Below are 21,664 nucleotides of genomic sequence, written 5' to 3' on the forward strand. Positions count from 1 at the left end.
GAAAACAGTTAGAAAGTTCTAAAATACCTTTTACTGGAGTTCCAGAAAGAAGAAATAAGGTAATGGCTGAGGATGTACCAGAATTATTTTCCAGTGTTAGTCATCTTGAAGAAGTCCATGAATTCCAAGGGAGATTGATATACTACTCCATCCTACTGATTGATTACTCAGATCCTCAACTCTTCTCTCTTTCTCACACTCCAATTATAATCTGATAGAAAACCTATTGGCTCTACCTTCAAAATATATCCAGAATCTGACCCCATCTCATCATTATCACTGCAGCAACTACCATCATCTCTCACCTAATTACTGTACTCAATTACTACAATTCTTCCTACTTCTACCCTCAGCCCCAACACCTATTTTTCAACACCACAATCATAGTGATTCTTTTAGAACAGATCACTTCTTGTCACTCCTTTGTGTAGAACCTTGAATAAGTCTCAAAATCCTTTTTTTTTCTTTTTTTTTTTTTTAGACGGAGTTTCGCTCTTGTTGCTCAGGCTGGAGTGCAATGGTGTGATCTCGGCTTACCGCAACCTCCGCCTCCCAGGTTCAAGCGATTCTCCTGCCTCAGCCGCCCAAGTAGCTGGGATTGCAGGCATGTGCCACCATGCCTGGCTAATTTTGTATTTTTAGTAGAGACGGAGTTTCTCCATGTTGGTCAGGATGGTCTCGAACTCCTGACCTCAGGCGACCTGCCCACCTCGGCCTCTCAAAGTGCTGGGATTACAGACGTGAGCCACCACACCATTCCCAAGTCTCAGATTCTTGTAATGGCCCTACGTAGTCTGCCCTTTGCACTTCTTTAACCTACTAATCTCCTATTATGCCATTCCGTATTTTCTCGACTCCAGCCACATTGACCTCATTGTTGTTACTCCAATAGAATAAGGATGTTTTGGCCTGAGGCCTTCGTCTAGTTCTTTCTTTTGCCCAGAATGTTTTCCCCCTACATGTTTATTTATCCAATGCCTTCATTTATGTCTTCCTTCATCAATTATGACCTTCTGAATGAAGCATACTCTGACTACCTCTGACCCATCCTCTCAGCATTCCTGGTCTTCTTTACTATGATCTACTTTTTTCCTTCCACAGCACTTTTCTGACATGCTGTTTTTTATTTTGTGTCTCCCTGTACTCTCACAGAGTACATTTTTTAATGTCTTATTATCATTCTTTCCTGATTTATCCCAAATTCCTAAGAGTTCCCAGCAAAGAGTAGGTACAGTACATATTTATTAAATAAATGAAATCCGCATCAAGACACATCATAGTGAAACGGCCAAAGACATTGGAAGCAGCTAGAGAGAAAGGGCACTAGTAAACAGTTGAGTTCTCAACATCAACAATAGAAACCAGAAGGCAGTAGAGTAATTTTTAACTTTTAACCTAGAAATTTGTACGCAGTGAAACTACTTTCTGAGAATGATAGTAAAATCAAAACATTTGCAGATAAAATGGGTTTTCACCAAAAGGTATTCGGTAAAAGAAAATCAGAAGTTTGTAATTCAAGATAAAGAAAATAATCCACAAGTACGATCTGGGAAATAAATAATAGTGAGTAAAGAAAATAATAAACATGTGGATACATCTGAATGTTAATTTAAAACAACAAATAGATAAATGAAAACAACAAATTAATAATAAAATTATGGACTGGGTGTGGTGGCTCCCATCTGCAATCCCAGCACTTTGATAGGCTGAGGTGGGTGGATCACTTTAGGCCAGGAGTTTGAGACCAGCCTGGGCAACATGGCAAAACACTGTCTCTACAAAAAATACAAAAATTAGCTGGACATAGTGGCAAACACCTATAATCCCAGCTACTCAGGAGGCTGAGGCAGGAGAATTACTTGAACCCAGGAAGTGGAGATTGCAGTGAGTCGAGATCATGCCACTGTACTCCAGCCTGGGCAACAGAGTGAGACCCTGTCTAAAAAAAGAAAAAAAAGAAAAAAATATATATATAGAAAAAAATTAATAATAAAATTATGTCCAATTTGTAGAATTTTAAAGAATATAGCTAAGTTGCTTAGCAACATTTGAAAGTAAGTCAGAAACAGGTGGTATGACTAGAATTGAACCATTCTAAAGTCATTGATGTTTAAGACAGGGATTGGCAAATGCCAGGCCTTAGGCAAAACCTTACCCATTATCTATTTCCTTTTATTTTTCGACAACAGAAATTTATTCTTTCACAATTCTGAATAAAAAATTTTTTATTCTAGAAATAAAAAAATCAAGGCATTATCAAGGCCATGCTCCCTCTGAAGTTTCTAGGGAATAATCCCTCCTTATGTTGTCTTAGCTTCTGGTGGTTACCAGCAATTCCAGTGTTACATAGCTTATAGCTGCATCACTCCAATTTCTGCCTCAGTCTTCCCATGGCTATCTTTCCTCTGTGTGTCTGTCTGTGTGTTTACATGGCCTTTTTATAAAAAAAAAGCTAATCACTAGATTTAGGACCCAGCCTAATGCAGTGTGACCTCATCTTAAGTTGATTACATCTGCAAAGACTCTACTTCCAAATAAGGCAACATTCACAGGTCCTGAAACTTAGGACATCAACAGATCTTTTTGTACTTGGAGAAGTCCATGGCTTCATACTCCCCCTCCTGGGCCCTCAGCAGTGGAGGACCCACCCTGAGGGCCCTCCTGGCAGCTTATCATCTATTTCTATAAATAATTATTGGAACACTGCTACATCTATTTGTTTATGTAGTGTAGTTGCAAAAAGATCCTATAGCCTGAAAAGCCTAAAATATTTGCTATCTGGCTATTTACAGAACATTATTTTTCCAATCTCTGGTTTAAGAGCAGCATAAATATGTTTATTATATCTAGACTTTAAATCTTCAGAATATTAAGTAAAATAACAGGAACAGAAAATGTAACTCCCAATGAAAAATAAGGAAATAAAAGATGAAAGGATAGAGGGAGGTAATTAGAGTCAGTAATTGCAGAAAGCAGTTTCTCTACCACTATTACCACCACTACTACTGCAACTCCATAATCAGGGCTGGAAGAACACAGAGAAGAGGTTGATGTTATCAAAACATAGGAACTTACGAGTCTTGCAAACCCGAACCTCAAATCCAGTATGAAGTGAGTTGCAAGGAAGAAAAGTGATTTATAGAGTTTCAGCTCTAGGATTTTCAGTGGCTTCAGAACTGGAAAAAAAAAATCATTTAATAACCAGCTCAGATAGATTTAATTGGCTACATAAAGATGCTTTGTATGGCCAAAAAGAACATGCACATAGTCAATAGACAAACAACAGAACTGGAATAAGGACAAAATCATTATATTCATGGCAATCTATACAACTGGAAAAAGAAAACCCAAACCAAAACAGTATTTTTTTTAATGAGGGTATATTTACTGCTACCCTATTTGTAGTTGTGTAACAGTGAAAGAGCAAAAGAGCTAACATAACTAGCTCCATATTTGTTTAAGTGGCCTTTACCCATTCCTGCACATAGGCTAGGATAATTTTAAAGCACTGAGATAAAACTCAAAAACAGCTATCATGTAGTTTTGAAATGAACTCTGGGATTAAAGGGAAGGATATAAACAACTAACTGTGTTTTGTTAAAGATTTACAGGAGCACTGTGACCTGACCAAGGACAAAGAAGTTCCCAGTCTCCACAAACCCTCATTGGCACTCAGTTGTCTGTGGTCCTTGGTTCCTTTTCATCCCAACCCCTGAACTTAGTTTTCTCATATTTTCTCTCCCATAAAAACCCTCCAGCCAGACTGAAAAAAATTTAAGATGGTACTTTAGAACACTATTTCACTATCTTCTCAGTTTTGCTGCCTTTCTGGATAAACCTGCTTTTCCTCCCACCAACACTCATCTCTCGTGTCTGGCTTTTGAGAGGCTATCAGCCAAACCTAGGTTTGGTTACAGTGGCAGAAGGAGAAAGACAGAAAAAAATAACCAAAAACAAATAGAATGCCCGTCAGTATGGGAATGGTTCAGTGAAATATATTTACACAACTATCACATCATGGATACCATATCCACTACATAAAAATGAAATTGGTTTAGGTTCTGGTAATAGAGAAGTAACAGATGTAGGACTGGCCCTCTATCAAGGGCTGCAGAGGCACTTAGCCTTATTCTATTTGCAAGGTAACAAGTTAGCCTGCCACAGTTTCATAGATACTAGCAGAAGAAACAAGACTCTGGGAAACAAAAACAAAAACAAAAACAAAACCAACTTTCTTATTCATGGCACAATAGGCCATTTTCTACTCAAACATCCTAGTAAAGACTTTCTGGGACAATAGCTATCATAAGATGTATAGGAACATCATGGAGAATTATTCTCCAACATCCTCCTGCAAAGAACAATTATAAATTCTAAACAAAATGTAAAAAATTAAACAAAATATTTGAGGGCATTGGAGAGAGATCAAAAGCAGGCAAAATTTTGAAAGAATTCAAGTTTTGAAAAAAAAGATGTGCATTGGATAAGACCCAAGTTTAGACAGACTTTCTCTGAGGGCCCTCTTCAGCCCACTTTAGCACAGCCACTGGAACTCAAGAAGAAAACATCTTGGTTTAAGTTGCCAAAGGACAGAATTGGGGGCCACCAGAATGGCTAAAAATTGAGAGGGAAAAAAATCTGAAATAAGAAAGTCATTCTTTGGAGGAAGCCCTGAAATTAGTAAGATAAAAAACAACAACAAGAACAACAAAACCTTTTTTTAAGTAATTGGCTGACCTCTGAATTTCACTTCAAAGGGGAGACTGCAAGACAATAAAAAGAAATTAAAGGCATCCAGATTGGAAAAGGAAAAATAAAACTATCTTTGTAGATAAAATCTACAAAAAAACTCTTGGGACAAGTAAGTGGGTTAAATAAGGTTGAACAATTCAAAGTCAACATAAACATCAATTGAATTCCCCTATAGTAGCAACAAACTATCCAAAATTTAAATAAAACCAAGTATCATTTTACAATACCATTAAAAATAGGAAATACTTAGATTCAACATTTAAAATGTCAATTGTAGACCAGGGGCAGTGGCTCGCACCTATAATCTCAGCACTTTCGGAGGCTGAAGTGGGTGGATCACTTGAGGTCAGGAGTTTGAGACCAGCCTGGCCAACATGGCAAAACCTGTATCAACTAAAAAATACAAAAAAATTAGCCAGGTGTGGTGGCGGGCACCTGTAATCCAACCTACTAGGGAAGCTGAGACAGGAGAATTGCTTGAACCCAGGAGGCAGAGGTTGCAGTGAGCCGAGATCATGCCACTGCACTCCAGCCTGGGAAACAGAGCGAGACTCTGTCTCAAATAAAATAAAATAAAGTCAGTTGTCCCCAAATTAATCTACAGATTCAGTGCAATCTTATCAAAATCCCAGTAGAAGTTTTTTGTAGAAATTGACAAGTTGACTCTAAAATATTTATGAAAATACAAAGAAACTAAAACTTTAAAAAATGAGGGTAAGGCTGGGCGTGGATTATAGGCTCACATCTATAATCCCAGCACTTTGGGAGGCCGAGGAGGGTGGATCACTTGAGGTCAGGAGTTCGCTATCAGCTTGGCCAACATGATGAAACCCTGTCTCTACTAAAAATACAAAAATTAGCCAGGTGTGGTGGCGGGCACCTGTAGTCCCAGCTACTCGGAAGGCTGAGGCACAGAATCGCTTGAACCCCAAAGGTGGAGGTTGCAGTGAGCCAAGATCGTGCCACTGCACTCCAGCCTGGGTGACAGAGTGAGACTCCCTCTCAGAAAAAAAAAAAAAAAAAAAAAAAAAAAAAGAGAGAGAGAGAATAAAAGCTGTAGAACTTACAATAATTTACTTTAATAGTGCAAAGTAATCAAAACAGTGTAATATTGGCATAAAGACAGAAAAATAGTTCAATAGAATAGAGTTCTGAAATACAGCCAAGTATTGGACAAGTGATTTCCTGCAGAAGTGCAAAGGCAATTCAGTGAATAAAGGATTGTCTTTTCAACAAATGGTGCTGAAACAATTGACTATATTTATTCAGAATAATAAGCCTCGATGTATAACTTGTACCATATACAAAAATAACTTGAAAGTAAACCTAAACTACTGAAACTTTAAGAAGAAAATTTAGGGGAAATTTTTGAAAAATACTTAGGCAAAGGTTTCTTAGACATGACACATCAAACATAAAAGAATAGATTTATAAATGAGATTTCATCAAAATTAGGAAGTGCTGCTCTTTATAAGTTACAGAGAAGAAAATGAAAAGTGAAGACACAAATGGGGAAAATATTTGCCAATCACGTAAAGAACTTGTACTTAGAATAAATAAAGGACTCTCAAATGGCAAATCAACATATGAAAAGTTGCTCACCATCATTAGTCATTAGCAAAGCTCCCTCTCTCAGAATCTCAGCAGAAGTACAATGATTGGCCAATTCATTCACCACTGGCCCACAAGAATAGACATTCACTGCTGCTGGTAATGGAGGGTCTAAAACAATTTGAATGTTGAAGGGATATAACCTCCTCAGCAAGAAGAGCAAAATCATAATATGCTTGGACCATGTAATCCAAAAAAGCAAGGCAAATTGATTATATAGGACAAGGACTTCCTTTTGAAGAATAAATGAAGACATAAAGAAATTAACAATAAATCTTGATGAGAGTGGCCAAGGTGGGCGACTAGAAGCAGCTAGTGTGCATGGCTCTCACAGAGAGGAATGGAAGAGGCAAGTAAATACATCTGCAACTGAAATATCCAGGTACTCACATTGGGACTAATCAAGGAAACAACTTGACCCATGGAGAATGAAGAAAAGCAAAAAAGGACTACAGGCCATCCAGAAGCAACATGGACCCAGGGGAACCTCCCCTGCCCGGGAAAGTAGTGAGTGAATGTGTGACACCAGAAAACCACGCTTCCCTGATGGAACTTTGCAACCCTCCAGTCAGATCTCCTTGTGAACCTACTCCACTAGGGCCTTCTGTCTGACAGACAGAGCTATGTGGAGTCTCAGCAAAGCAGCCACTCAGGCATGCATGGAGACCCTGGAGCATTAGCTACTTGAGCTTTCTGGCAAAAGTAGCTGCAACTCTGGCAAAGTGGGATGTTAGACCCCCATACATACCCATAGGAAAGAGGCTGAATCCAGGAGGCTGAGCAGTGACAGTCAGCAGGCCCCACTTCCATGGCATCTCACAAGATGAGACTCACTGGCTTGGAATTCCAGCCAGCCACAAGTAGTGGCATTGTACCTCCCTAAGAAGGAGCTCCCAGGGGGAGACCCAGGCTGCCATCTTTGCTGTTTGGGTGCCTGAGACGTTTCAGCTTTCAGGCTTCAGAGAGTCTGAGCCCACTGGGGGTGAAAGGGATCCCTCAGCACATCACAGCTGCTCTACCAAAACATAGACTGCTACTTTAAGCAGGTCCCTGATCCACTTCTCCTCACTGGGCAGGACCTCTCAAACTGGGCCTCCAGCAACCCCTGCCAGTGTTCTCCAGCTGACAGAGAGTTGAGTTCTCCCTGGGACAGTGTTCCCAGAGGGAGAGGCAGGCCACCATCTTTGCTGTTTGGGCAGCTTAGCTGTTCCAGCCTTTGGGTTTCAGAGTGTCTGGGGAAACTGAGGACTGAAGTAGACTCACAGTACAGCACAGGTACTCTACCAAAATGTGGCCAGACTGCTTTTTTAAGTAAGTCCCCAATTGCATTCCTCCTCACTGGGTGGGACCCCCCAAACAGGATCTCTACCCACCTCCTACAGGTACCTTTGGGATGGCAACAGGCCTGTACCTCCCTGGGACAAAGCCAGAGGGAAGGATAGGCTGCCATCTTTGCTGTTTCATAGGTTCACTGGTGATACTTCCAGGTACTGGAAAATCTAAGGTGACTAGGGACTGGAGTGGGCCCCTAGCATACCACAGCAGCCCTACAGAAAAGTGGAAAGACTGTTATATGGGTGCCCATTCCCCTATCTCCTCACCAGGCAGGTTCTCCAGGCCTGGACTTCCAGCCATCACCCCCCGGATCCACCAGTAGAGCTATTGAGCCAGTAGCAACTCAGCAACTCCATGGACAGAGCCTCCAGGGGCAACTGAAAGCCTCCTCTGCCACTGCCTCTGCAGCAGAACTGTCCTTGCCACCCTCAGACTATCAAAGGAGCAAAGACCCAAAGTGCATTATCCACACCTCCAACATACTGCAGCCAACCCAAGGAGAAGAAGCCAGTCCATCTCCCACGGGTCCCACGTACCCTCCACCGCTTGACACCAGACAGGAAAACCTTGGCTGGGGCCCTCAGCACAGACCCTTCATCCTGGGCTGATTGCACTGAGCGATTACTGACCTGCATCTCCCTGAGTTGGAGCCCCCAGGAGACAAGCAAACACCCCTTGGCCATAATCATACTAAAGTCTCTTGCTCGCTGCCTCCAAGATGGGGAAGGAACATAAATACTGAGATCACCCCAGAGCTGCAGTGGGCAGCCCAGGAATTCCAAGTCACAGTCTACAGCCAGCACTCAAGGAGGAAAGGAATCCACACTTTCAGAGCATTGAAAGGGAACGTGGCTGCAACTGAGAGAACATAGGGGAGCCACATAACTAAGCAAAAGTCCACCAACTGACCAATAAGTCTAAGCACCACCTGCTGGATCACACCCCAAAGCTTCAACACCAAAAACACCTCACTAACATACCCCCCTCTGAAACCAGAGACAAGAAGTCAGCTTCAAATAAAGACCCTGCACAAAACCTCAGCCTGTTGAAAACATCCAGAAAAGAAGAAGAAGAAAAAAAAACTTCCTGCCCAGGGAAGCAGTAGTGAATGAATGTGTGACCCCAGAATACTACGCTTCTCTGATGGATCTTTGCAACCCTCCAGTCAGGAGATCTCCTTGTGAACCCACTCCACTAAGACCTTCAGTCTGTGCTCAATCTATGCTGCAATTAAAGGAACATCCACATGTGGAGATGAGAAAGAACCAACACAAGAACTCTGGTAACTCAAATTGCCAGAGTATCCTATGTTCTACAAACGACCTTACCAAATCTCCAACAAGAGTTCTTAACCAGGCTGAACTGGCTAGAATGAGAGAAATAGAATTCAGAATATGGAGAGGAATAAAGATCATTGAGATTCAGGAGGGCAGCAAAACTCAACCCAAGGAAAATAAGAATCACAATAAAGTGATACAGGAGCTGAAAGACAAAGCTGGTATAAAAAAGAACCTAACTGTTCTGACAGAGCTGAATAATACAATACAAGAATTTCACAATGCAATCACAAGTATTAACAGCAGAATAAACCAAGGTGAGGAAAGAATCTCTGAACTTGAAGACTGGTTCTCTGAAATAAGACAGTCAGACAAAAATAAAGCAAAAAGAATAAAAAGGAATGAACAAAACCTCCAAGAAGTATGGGATTATGTAAAGAGGCCAAATCTATTAATCACTGGCATCCCTGAAAGAAAGGGGGAGAAAGCAGACAATTTGGAAAGCATATTTCAAGATGTTGTCCATGGAAACTTCCCCAGCCTTGCTAGAGAGGCTAACAGTTAAATTCAGGAAAAACAGAGAACTCCCACAAGATTGTACGCAAGACATTCATCCCCAAGACACGTAATCATCAGATTTTCCAAAGTCGAAGGTAAAGAAAGAATGTTAAAGGCAGCTAGAGAGAAAGGGCATGTTACCTACAAAGGGAACCCCATCAGGCTAACAGCTGACCTCTCAGCCAAAACCCTACAAGCCAGAAGAGATTGGGGGCTTATATTCAACATTCTTAAAAAAAAAAAAAAGTCTTCAACCAAGAATTTCATATCCAGCCAAACTAAGCTTTCTAAGTGAAGGAGAAATAAGATCCTTTTCAGATAAGCAAATGTTGTGGGAATTCATTACCACCAGACCTGCCTTACAAGAGATCTTGAGAGGAACGCTAAATCTAGAAGGGAAAGACCACTATCAGCAAATACAAAAACACACTTAAACACACAGACCAATGTCAGTGTAAAACAACCACACAAACAAGCCAACATAGTAACCAGCTAACATCATAATGACAGGATCAAATTCACACCTGTCAATACTAACCTTGAATGTAAATGGGCTAAATGCTCAACTCAAAGGCCCAGAGTGCCAAACTGGATAAAAAAGTAAGACCCAATAGTATGCTGTCTTCAAGAGACCCATCTCACATGTAATGTCACTCATAAGCTCAAAATATAACGATGTAGGAAAATCTGCCAAGCAAATAGAAAACTGAAAAAAGCAGGGGTTGCAATCCCAATTTCAGACAAAACAGATTTAAAACCAGCAAAGATTTAAAAAAAAAAGACAAAGAAGGGCAATACATAATGGTAAAGGGTTCAACTCAATAAGATCTAACTATCCTAAATGTATATGCACCCAACACAGGAGCACCCAGATTCATAAACCAAGTTCTTAGAGACTGTATTAGTCAGGGTTCTCTAGAGGGACAGAACTAATAGGATAGATATAGAAATAGAGGGGAGTTTATTAAGTATTAACTGACATGATCACAAGGTCCCACAATAGGCCATCTGCAAGCTGAGAAACAAGGAGAGCCAATCCAAGTCCCAAAACTGAAGAACTTGGAGTACGATGTTCGAGGGCAGGAAGAATCCAGCATGGGAGAAAGATGTATGCTGGGAAGCCAGGCCAGTCTCATCTTTTCACATTTTTCTGCCTGCTTTATATTCTAGCCACACTGGCAGCTAACTAGATGGTGCCCACCCAGATTAAAAGCAGGTCTGCCTTTCCCAGCCCACTGACTGGAATGTTAATCTCGTTTGGCAACACCCTCACAGACACACTCAGGATCCTTCAATCCAATCAAGTTGACACTCAGTATTAACCATCACAGAGACCTACCAAGAGACATAGACTCCTACACAACAATAGTGGGAGACTTCCACACTCCACTGACACTATTAGACAGATCATTGAGGCAGAAAATCAACAAAGATATTCAGGACCTAAACTCAACATTGCACCAAATGGATCCGATAAGCCTTTACACAACTCTCAACCCAAACAAACAAACAAACAAGGAAAAAACAGGATAAACATTCTTCTAATCATCACCTGGCAAATACTCTAAAATCTACCACAAAATTGGACATAAAACAATCTTCAACAAATGTAAAAGAACTCAACTTATACCAAACACACCCTTGGACCACAGTGCAATAAAAATAGAGGTCAAGACTATGAAAATTGCTCAAAATCATGCAATTACATTGAAATTAAACAACATGCTTCTGAATGACTTTTGGGTAAATAATTAAATTAAGACAGAAATCAAGAAGTTCTTTGAAACTAATGAGAACAAAGATACAACATACCAGAATCTCTCAGACACAGATAAGGCAATGTTAAGAGGAAAATTCATAGCACTAAATGCCCATATCAAAAATTTAAAATGATCTCAACTTAACAACCTAACATCACAATGAAATAATTAGAGAAGCAAGAACAGATCAGCAGAAGATGAGAAATAACAAAAATTAGAGCTGAAATGAAGGAAATTGGGACATGAAAAACCATTCAAAATATCAACGAATCCAAGAGTTTGCTTTTTGAAAAAAAAATAATAAAACAGACCACTAGCTAGACTAATAAAGAAGAAAAGAGAAGAAAACCAAATAAACATGATTAGAAATGACAAAGGGGATGTGACTACTGACTCTACAGAAAAAAAAAAAAAAAAAATAAGAAGCTACTTTGAACACCTCTACACACACAAACTAGAAAACCTAGAAAAGATGGATTAATTCATGGACACATTCGCCCTCCCAAGACTGAGGCAGGAAAAAATTGATTCCCTGAACAGATCAATAATGAGCTGCAAAACTGAATCAGTAATAAATAGCCTAACAACTGAAAAAAGCTTGGGACCTGATGGATTCATAGCCAAATTCTACCAGAGTACAAAAAAGAGCTAGCACCATTCCTACATGCACTATTCCAAAATATGGAGGAGGAGGGATTCCTCCCCAACTCATTCTATGAGGCCAGCATCATCTTGATACCAAAAACCTGGCAGAGACACAACAACATCAACAAGAAAAAGCTTCAGGTTAACATCCTTAATGAAGATCAATGCAAAAATCCTCAAAAGACACTTGTAAACCGAAATAAGCAATGGTGAAAAGATTCTCTATTCAATAAATGGTGCTGGGATAACTGGCTAGCTATATGCAGAAGACTAAAGCTGGAACCCTTCTTTACACCACACGTAAAAGATCAATTCAAGATGGATTACAGACTTAAAACTATAAAATCCCTGAAAGACAACCTAGGCAATACCATCCTGGACATAGAAACCGGCAAAGATGTTATGAGAAAGACACCAAAAGCAATCACAACAGAAGCAAAAATTGACAAGTGGGATCTAATTAAACTTAAGAGCTACTGCACAGCAAAAGAAACTATCAACAGAGTAAACAGACAACCTACAGAGTGGGAGAAAACATTTGCAAACTATATGTCTGACAAAGGTCTAATATCCAGCATCTATAAGGAACTTAAATTTATAAGAGAAAAACAACCCCATGAAAAAGTGAGCAGAGCACTTGAACAGACACTTCTCAAAAGAAGACATACATGTGGCCAACAATCTTATGAAAAAAAGCTGAACATCAGTGATCATTAGAGAAATGTAAATCAAAACCACAATGAGATACCATCTCACACCAGTCAGAATGGCTATCATTAAAATGTCAAAAAATAACAGATGCTAGCAAGGTTTCAGAGAAAAGGGAACACTAATACATGGTTGGTGAGAGTGTAAATTAGTTCTAACATTGTGGAAAGCAGTATGGCGATTCCTCAAAGAGCTAAAAGAAGAACTGTCATTAGACCAGCAATCCCATTACTGGGTATACACCCAGAGGAATGTAAATCATTCCACCGTAAAGACACATGGCACGTGAATGTTCATTACAGCCCTATTCCCACCAATAGCAAAGACATAGAATCAACCTAAATTTCCATCAATGACAGATTGGATAAAGAAAATGTGGTACATTTACACCATGAAATACTATGGAGCCATAAAAAGGAACTAAATCACGGCTTTTGTGGGAACATGGGTGAAGCTGAAGGCTATTATCCTTAGCAAACTAACACATGAACAGAAAACCAAATACTGCATGTTCTCACTTATAAGTGGGAGTTAAATGATAAGAACTTATGAACACAAAGAAGGAAACAACAGACATTGGTGTCTACTTGAGGGGGGAGGCTGGGAGGAGGGAGAGCAGCAGAAAAGATAACTATTGAATATTGGGCTTAATACCTGAGTGAGGAAATAATATGTACAAGAAACCCACATGCCACGTGTTTGTCTATGTAACAAATCTTCACATGTACCCCCAAACCTAAAAGTTTAAAAAATAAATAAATCATAAGGAGAAAATAGAACACAAAATGGACTTTCTGAAAAAAAGCACTTGTAATTTGATTTTAACATATTTACCATATAATCATGTATAAACTCAATCATTTAATTAAAATTTAAATATATACATATATAATATATATGTATAATAAGCAATTAAAAATTTCAACAGACAAACTAAAAGAGAAGATGGTCAAAGCCGAGAACAGTCTTATTAGTCTGGAAAGAGTCAAAAACACAGAATTAAACAGAGAGAGCTGAATAGAATAGAAAGGACAAAGGAAGGGCTGTTTTAAAAACCTGGAAAATATGGAGCCTTTTCAGGGAGCCATCTGAATAAATCATCTCCATTAGTTTCCTTCTTTCTTCACTTTTCACTTTTCTTGTGCTGCTGATCTAGGGCCCAAACTTGGAAACCACAAGGCTACAGAAGTCAAAGTACCAAAATAGTACAAAGGCTGCCTCTTTGCCTTGTAAATGTAACTTAGTTTTAATGATACAAATTTCACACACACACACACACACACACACACACACACACACGCATATCCCATACACAAGTAGAAATTTGAAGTTATTTAGAATGAGAAAGATCACAGAAACATCAAATCACCATACCAACCAGCATTTCCCTTTTTTCCAAAAGTGAGGACACAGTACAAGTCTAACATGAAAGTATTATCCAAGTTTGCAAGATTCCATTACTTTTTAAGTTATCAAAAGCATAAACTGATGCTTATGTATACCCCAGATGTGTCTCCCTGAACAACTTAAATTTCCAAAAAGTTGTTTTCATAGTGAATTTCTAAAAAAACGAAGGCATATCCTGCCCCCACTTTGATCCTTTTAACTATAGATGCTTTCCTTTTAAAATTGTTTATTCCAAATCTTAATAAAAATGGAAAAATAAGATTAAACATTCAGGTAAAAAGAATGTTTTCAAAAAGTGGATTTGTGTGATGTTTTTAGCATTATTTACAATAATGCACTAACTACACTATATCCAAATTGTAAAGCCTTACAGCTTGAGGAAGATAAGAGAGATTGGGGAACAGGAGTGGAAGCTCTGTTAGTGATTTCAGCAGGTAAGCTAATGGAGCAGTGTGCTTCTCTAGTATGAAGGAATCTATTTACTGCCTGTAAATATTTATTTTTAAAATCCTAACATTGTAAGTCAAAGCCCAGTATTAATATTTCCCAATCCTTTACCTTTGACAGTGTTTATCCAAAGTTTTTTGTACTTAAAAGGATTTTTGCTTATTTGTTTGCAAAAATCCTTACTTCTTTCATGTCTGATTCTCGATGAGGTGGAATAAACAGCCCTACTTGGCATTCTGGTCAGAAAAAATTTAGGAATTTTTTCTGACTGATTACTTGCTTGTTGGGTACAGCTATGAGTTTAAATAAAACTATATACATGTGTCTCACGAGGTGGGGTCTAGGACACCTGCTGATGGCTGGGAAACACCATCACAGATCAAATGGCTCACAATGATATAAAGAGCTTCTTTGGAGGGAAGGTCACAAATTATTTGCAGTGAAGATGATGAGAGATTCTGGAAACAATGTCACCAACCAAATGTGTACAGAAGGTTTCACAATGAAGGCTGTCGATATTATTGGCCTCACACTGTCATTTACAGTCATCACATCTGTGCTTTTCTGAGAGCTCTTGAGTGAGCCCACTTATGAGATGTGACTTCCTCAAAGTTGTGACAGGATTCTGTTTTGTGGTCCTTACTAGTCTTTGTAATTCCAGCTTCATCCAGAATCTGGCACGCAGTAAAAGCTCACCACATGTTTCTGAGTGAAGGAGAGCTCTGCATTTGATAACTGTAACTCCTTATAAAATTGTTGTTCTCAGGCAAATAATATCATAGGAATGCTGCTGTAAATATAAAGAAAGATTTATCCTGAAAGATTCATATATCACAGCTAGACTACCTCTTCAGTATCTATTAATTGAATATCAGACAAGAGACTCCTTAAGGTCTCTACACTCTCAAAAATTGTGACTCTTGAAACAATTGCCAAAGTTTATTTTCATGGAAAACATCTGCTGTGCCTAAACGACTAAACATTTCCAACAGACATAATTTTTATCCAAGGATGCAGGGGAGAGGGGAGGCTTGGATGAAAGAAATTAGCAAACCATTATTCCAACCACTAAGATAGAGAGATGGTTGGGCAGAATTAGTTCTGTTTGGAGAAATACCAATGTGTAAAATAATAGCAACTACCTTTTATTGGATGCCTACTAAAAGCCAAGGCATTACAGTAGGTGATATGTATACACTATTGAGAATCCTCAGAGCGAATTGCCCCAGATCACAGAGCTAATAAGCAACTGAGTTGCATCCAGGCCCAGGGTCAGCCAGGCTCCACAGTCTTCCAGTACTTCTCTAGGGGCTGTTCCAGTAAAGCCAAGGTGGAGAGAGGGATCAAGCGAGGTTGCTGAGCAGCAGCAAACGAAAGGGGGATGGAGGTAGGGTGCTGAGAATGGGTGGAAATGAGACTGGGATACTGAGATGGAGGACTAAGCAAAAACCAGGTATGACAAAGGCATATGACAAAGAGAAATGACAAAGGCAAGGTTGCTCATGCTAGTTGTTAAAAACCAGTCAAGCTCCTGGGCCAATAGTTTAAATTGCTACTGCAGAACTGGAAACCCCTCTCATGGGGCTTCTGAGGTTGCAGCCAGGGCATTGCCCCTGGCTTTCTTTTATGGAACCTTTAGAAATTTCTGTGGCCCCTAATGACTCTCATCTTCTTTGATGGTTCTAAAAGCGCTTAATTTTATAAATACATAAATTTTTATATCTCTATTTCAAAAGGACAATCAGAACAGAAAAGTGTGACTTTGAAGTTGCTGTGATTTTTTGGTAGTGAGAGCAAACCCTGTTTTTTGTTTGGATGGTTTTTGATTATTTCATTTAAAAATCTATGGTAGGGGGACAAATTCATATACAGGTTAAATATGCTGAGTAGGTAGATACATTTTTCAATATTGCTTTGATATATATTGAGTGAAAAGTATGACCCTTTTACATATGAGCAGCCTGGATCAAGGCAAAAATTTGCAATAGGCATAAAGAAATCCAGTAGAGAGCGAGTTGACTGTGGCTTAGAAAAGGTGAGAAACTACTTTTACTGAGTAGAAAAATAGAGTCATGCTGGGAAATGTGGGACTTCTATAGTTGAAATTTCTTCTTTTTCTGTCAAACCAAAGGGAAGAGAAAGACAGTTTTGAAAGAGAGAAGCAAAAAATCCCCCAGGGAAATTACTTCAACAACTAAATTGGGAGAGGTTGAGAAAACAGACAGCTACCACGTTGAGAAAGGCTACTGGGGGTTGTTCATCTTTGATTCCTGTGAAACTATATTTTTTTACACATAAAATTGACACCTTAAGTAGCATAGATGAAAAAGGAGATGTTCAGTTTTTACAGCGTTAGGAGAAAGAGGAAAAATATTAGGACTGAGAAGAATTAAAGTTAAGACAGAGAATTAATTCATTGTATTTTGCATTTACATTTTACTGCATTTGTTTGCCTTGGCCATAACATACTATGTAATTCTGTCCTAGCCATAATATACTATTGTAACTTTTAAAATTTATTTTCTTTAGTTTTATTGGGGTATAATTGGCAAAAATCATATATATTGTATAATGCAATGTTTTGATATATGTATACATTGTGAAATGATTATTACAATCAAGCTAATTAATGTGTCTATCACCTCACAGGTTTTTTGTGTGTGTTTTCGTGGCGAAAATACTTACAATCTAGAAAATTTACATTATTATTAGGTACAGTGACTAGGTCTCCAGAACTTATTCATCTTATAACCGAGAGTTTGTACCCTTTGATTAATATCTGTTTTTCCCACCCCTTGGCCCCTGGTAACCACACATCTACTTTCTGTTTCTGTAAACTTTATAGTATGTAATTTTAATTCCAAGTTTCAGGGGAAAAAAAAACACATCAGTGAATGGAAAAGTTCTTTACTGGGCAGGGCCAATGCTTTATATGTCTTCATAGCTCTCCTCTTCTGTTCAGTCAGCTCACAGAAAATGCTAGATGGGGAAAAATATGTGTTTTTATATGTGTCTGTGTTTTTGGTATTATGAGATCTCAGAGTGTTTTTGGTTTAACTACTCCTCTGGGAGGCTTATCCATTTGAATTCCAGGGACAGAACCAAGGGCCCAGGGTCCAAGGCAAAAGTCTTCTAGGAGTATGGAGTATGTATTTGCAAATGTATGATACTACTGGGTGGGGAGAGTGGCCAACTGGAGTTTATATACCCTACTCAAAAGCATTCAATTTCATTTTAGCCTCCAACTTTGTGCTTTCCAATTTTTTCCATTTTAGGTCTCCAACTTTATGTGTTTAGAGTGGCTCTTGGTGATACTGGTTGAGTGTCTACTACAATCTGGGTGCTGTAGATCCTTTTGATAATGCAACAGAGTAGGTAACGTGACTTCATTTTACAGATGAAGAAACACACTTACAGAAGCAAAATAACTTGCCAAAAATCATTCAGTTATTAAACAAACCATGTTAGATATTGATATGGTTTGGCTGTGTCCCAACCCAAATCTCATCTTGAATTGCAATCCGAATTGTAATCCCCATGTGTTGAAGGAGGGACAATGTGGGAGGTGACTAGATGATGGGGGCGGCTCCCCCATGCTCTTCTTGTGATGGTGAGTTCTCAGGAGATCTCATGGTTTTATAAGAGGCTTTTCTCCCCTTCACTTGGCACTTCTCTCTCCCGACATCATGTGAAGAAGCTTGGGTTTGCTTTCCCTTCCACCAAATTCTAAGTTTCCTGAGGCCTTCCCAGCCATGCAGAACTATGAGTCAATTAAACTGCTTTTCTTTATAAATTACCCAGTCTTAGGTATTTCTTCACAGCAGTATGAGGATGGACATTAGTCACAGGTAAGTCTTCTCTTTCTACTTTTACCAGCCTATTGAGGGCAGTAAGCTTACTGGAGGTAAATGAGGAAACAGATGCTTATGTAATAAATTGCATATTTTAGCCTGTCAAGTGACAGCAATTTCATTCCATTTTACTTTTTGTACTCTGCAATGATGGTATGTACACAATTTTTTTATTCATTCTTAAAAAAAGTAAGTTTTACAAGGCCAGGCACAGTGGCTCGCGCCTGTAATCCCAACACTTTGGGAGGCCGAGGTGGGCGGTAACCTGAGGTCAGGAGCTCCAGACCAGCCTGACCAACATGGAGAAACCCCGCCTCTTCTAAAAATACAAAAAAATTACCAAGCATGGTGGCGGGTGCCTGTAATCCCAGCTACTCGGGAGGCTGAGGCAAGAGAGTCACTTGAACCCAGGAGGTGGAGGTCGCAGTGAGCCAAGATCACGTCATTGCACTCCAGCCTGGGCAACCAGAGTGAAACTCTGTTTCCAAAAAAAAAAAAAAAAAAAAAAAAAAGGTTTACAAATGTTCGTTGTGAATTCACAATGTTCCCATGAGGAATTTGAAGAGAAAGCTTTCATTCTGTATATTAAACAGAACAACAAAACTGATAGGCAAAGACTACACTAGTCTTTTCAAGACAGCAATGTGAAAAAGGTGGAACACAATGGCTTGTTCTTGGTAATTAAGTGCTCTGACTGCTTCTAAGCTTGAAATAATTGTAATGTGTTATACTTGCATTTCATTATTTGGAGTTTTGAAATACAGTTTGAAGAAAATAAGATCATTAAGCAAAAATATAGAGATGATAATAGGCATGATTTACATTACAGAAACCTTTTTTTTAGTCTCAAAAATATTTACCCTTTAGGGTTCTTTATGCTTTGAGCTCTCATAATACAACTAAGTGCTTGTTTTTGACTCGTTAGTTACTTAACCTAGGGTTAAGGTACAGGAAGACAAGCAATGAAGCAAAGTGAAAAAGGGGTTAAGGTGCATTTCTTAAAGGGTTTGAAGCCCTGATGGTTAAAGAGCATTATGAAATAAAGTTATCTTAGAAATAGTAACAATAGTAGCTAATAAATATTGAGTTTAACACTTCACAGGCACTATACTAAGCACTTTATACAAATTTAGTGCCCTCAATAGTCCCATGAACCGGTTAGTATTATTATCCCAATTTTGCAGATGAGGAAACTGCGGCACAAAGAGAAAAACCTCTTGTACTCAACAATTTTTAACCCTGGAGTCTCACTTATAATTCTCTTTAACCAAAAGAAAGAAATCGGTCACAAATATTAGAGGTGAAGGTCACTTAGAGATCAGTTTGTCCATCATTTCTCCAACTGGGTTCCATATGAGAAGATGTGGGATGAATGGATCCCCAAAGAAATCTGAAGATCAATGCGTATTCTGCTCACTCACTTTCTTGTTCAGCCACAATTTCTGAGTTGTTTGAATTATTTTACAAGTTCATATCACCTTTAAACTCAGAATAAAAGTTGTTTAGCCTTTAAAAAATTGTGAAATGTGCTAAAAGTGTTTGAAAAAAGTTCTTTCTCATTAACAATCTCCCAAGTTTGTATTTGTCTTTAGCCTACTTGTCTTTGTTCCATCAAGCTCAAACTACCTTAAGCAAAGTGATTAATGGAACAATTCAGGGGTTGGCATACTACAGCCAGGAAAACAAATCCAAGCATTTTATTTATTTATTTATCTTTATTTTTAAAGGGTTGTAAAAAGGAAAACAAAAAAAAAGGGTGGGGGGTGGGGGGACAGGGTCCTTGTGTGGTCGTGAAAGCCTATTTACTATCTGGCCCTTCATAGAAAATGTTCACAAACCTTGAGAATAATCAAACATTCTGAAATAGTAAGTACAACTTAAGGAGGTTTTACTTTGACAATGTAAGTATAAAAATGTTTTCTCTATTCCCATAGTGGAGTAACTAATTTACAGAACAATTAAGTGGCAAGTTAAAATCAGAATATTTACTAGTGATGTAACTAAGAATATTTAGTTTTGGTTATGAACAACTTTATTTTGCAAACTTAGGCATGCAAGAAATAGAATTTATGTCTGTAATGACTTAGTTTGTTTCTCATACCACTTAGGGAGCAGAAACTTAATGTCAGTTGATTTGGGGTTTCCCTTTTTCCCAGGGTTGAGTGTAATTTTGAGGGAGACATCTGGTTACCATGTTTCACATGTTTGTACTGCTGAAGCAGCCCCTACTCTTCTCCCGGGCTTCCCATCTGTCTCACCTCTAATGCAGCAGCCCTGCTTCCCAGTCACACAGCCCCCTAGTTACGCAGCCCCTAGTCACACAGCCCCCTAGTCACATAGCCCCTAGTCACACAGCCCCTTCAGGACGTTTCCCCACTGTTACTTCCTTGCCACTGTCTAAAGCCATTATAGTTTCACTAAACCAAAGCCAGATTCTTTCTGCTTAAAAGAATTTATTGCCTGTAATTTGGTTAGCATTTGCTTATCTCAAGAGTTTTGAGCCTTTCCTAAGCTCAAGGGAGTATCACTTTTAGCCTCACTGCATTCTCATTTATAGCATTTGTGACATTATAATTTTCTGAGTCTATTTGCCCCCCTGGCTTCGAAACACCTTTGAAAATAGGCACGATTTTGTGTTTTCATTTGTTTCTCCATTTTATAGCAGTTTCCAATACATACTAGGCACTCAAGTATTGGTTCAAGTGAATGAGTCACTAAATTCATTACAGAAGTCTTTTAAGGCTTGATTATATTTTGTCAGCATTGGAGTTACTGTATGCATCAGGGATAAACTTACATTTCCTTTAAATTACTCTTTTACTGGGAAGACTGGTCTTCCACAATGGAGATTTTGTGTGTGTATAAATATTTACTTATACACACACTTCAGGTTTTCAAAAAGCTTCAGGTAAATATAGTAGAAAGTGGAACTTAAACTGGTAAGCACAGTAGATATCAAGTTTGGTAGTGCTTTTCATTAAATATTAGAATAAGATCCAGAATAGAATCTAGTATATCATAGATGCTCCTGGGGAGCCACTGAATGAACTCTGAGCAAGTAAAAAAATAATTTCTTTTAGATACAAATTTTGTTTTGGTCAACAGAAACATCACCTCTTGATGTGGAAATGAGGTACTCTGAGTGCTTCCTAATTTCCCCAAGTGTTAACTTTGTTGTCTCCTTATCTGCTATCAAAAGTGTCTTCTAGGGCAACAGAAGACATTGCTTTACACACGTACTTGTCTTGAGCACTATCCAGCAGCTTCAGTGTAGAGCTGAAGCAGATATGAGCCTATGGGGGAACCACACAGA

The 21,664-nt window shown here is 38.8% G+C and overlaps 1 annotated feature.

Moving 5' to 3' along the window:
- Nucleotides 6,727–7,228: an enhancer, noted in NCBI's record as "H3K27ac hESC enhancer chr6:70364977-70365478 (GRCh37/hg19 assembly coordinates)". NCBI's record gives its function as "activates a minimal SCP1, AML or CMV promoter by ChIP-STARR-seq in primed H9 embryonic stem cells {active_cell/tissue: H9 hESC(primed)}" and the evidence as "EXISTENCE:reporter gene assay evidence [ECO:0000049][PMID:30033119]".

This window comes from Homo sapiens, chromosome 6, assembly GCF_000001405.40.
Source record: "Homo sapiens chromosome 6, GRCh38.p14 Primary Assembly".
Taxonomy (NCBI): domain Eukaryota; kingdom Metazoa; phylum Chordata; class Mammalia; order Primates; family Hominidae; genus Homo; species Homo sapiens.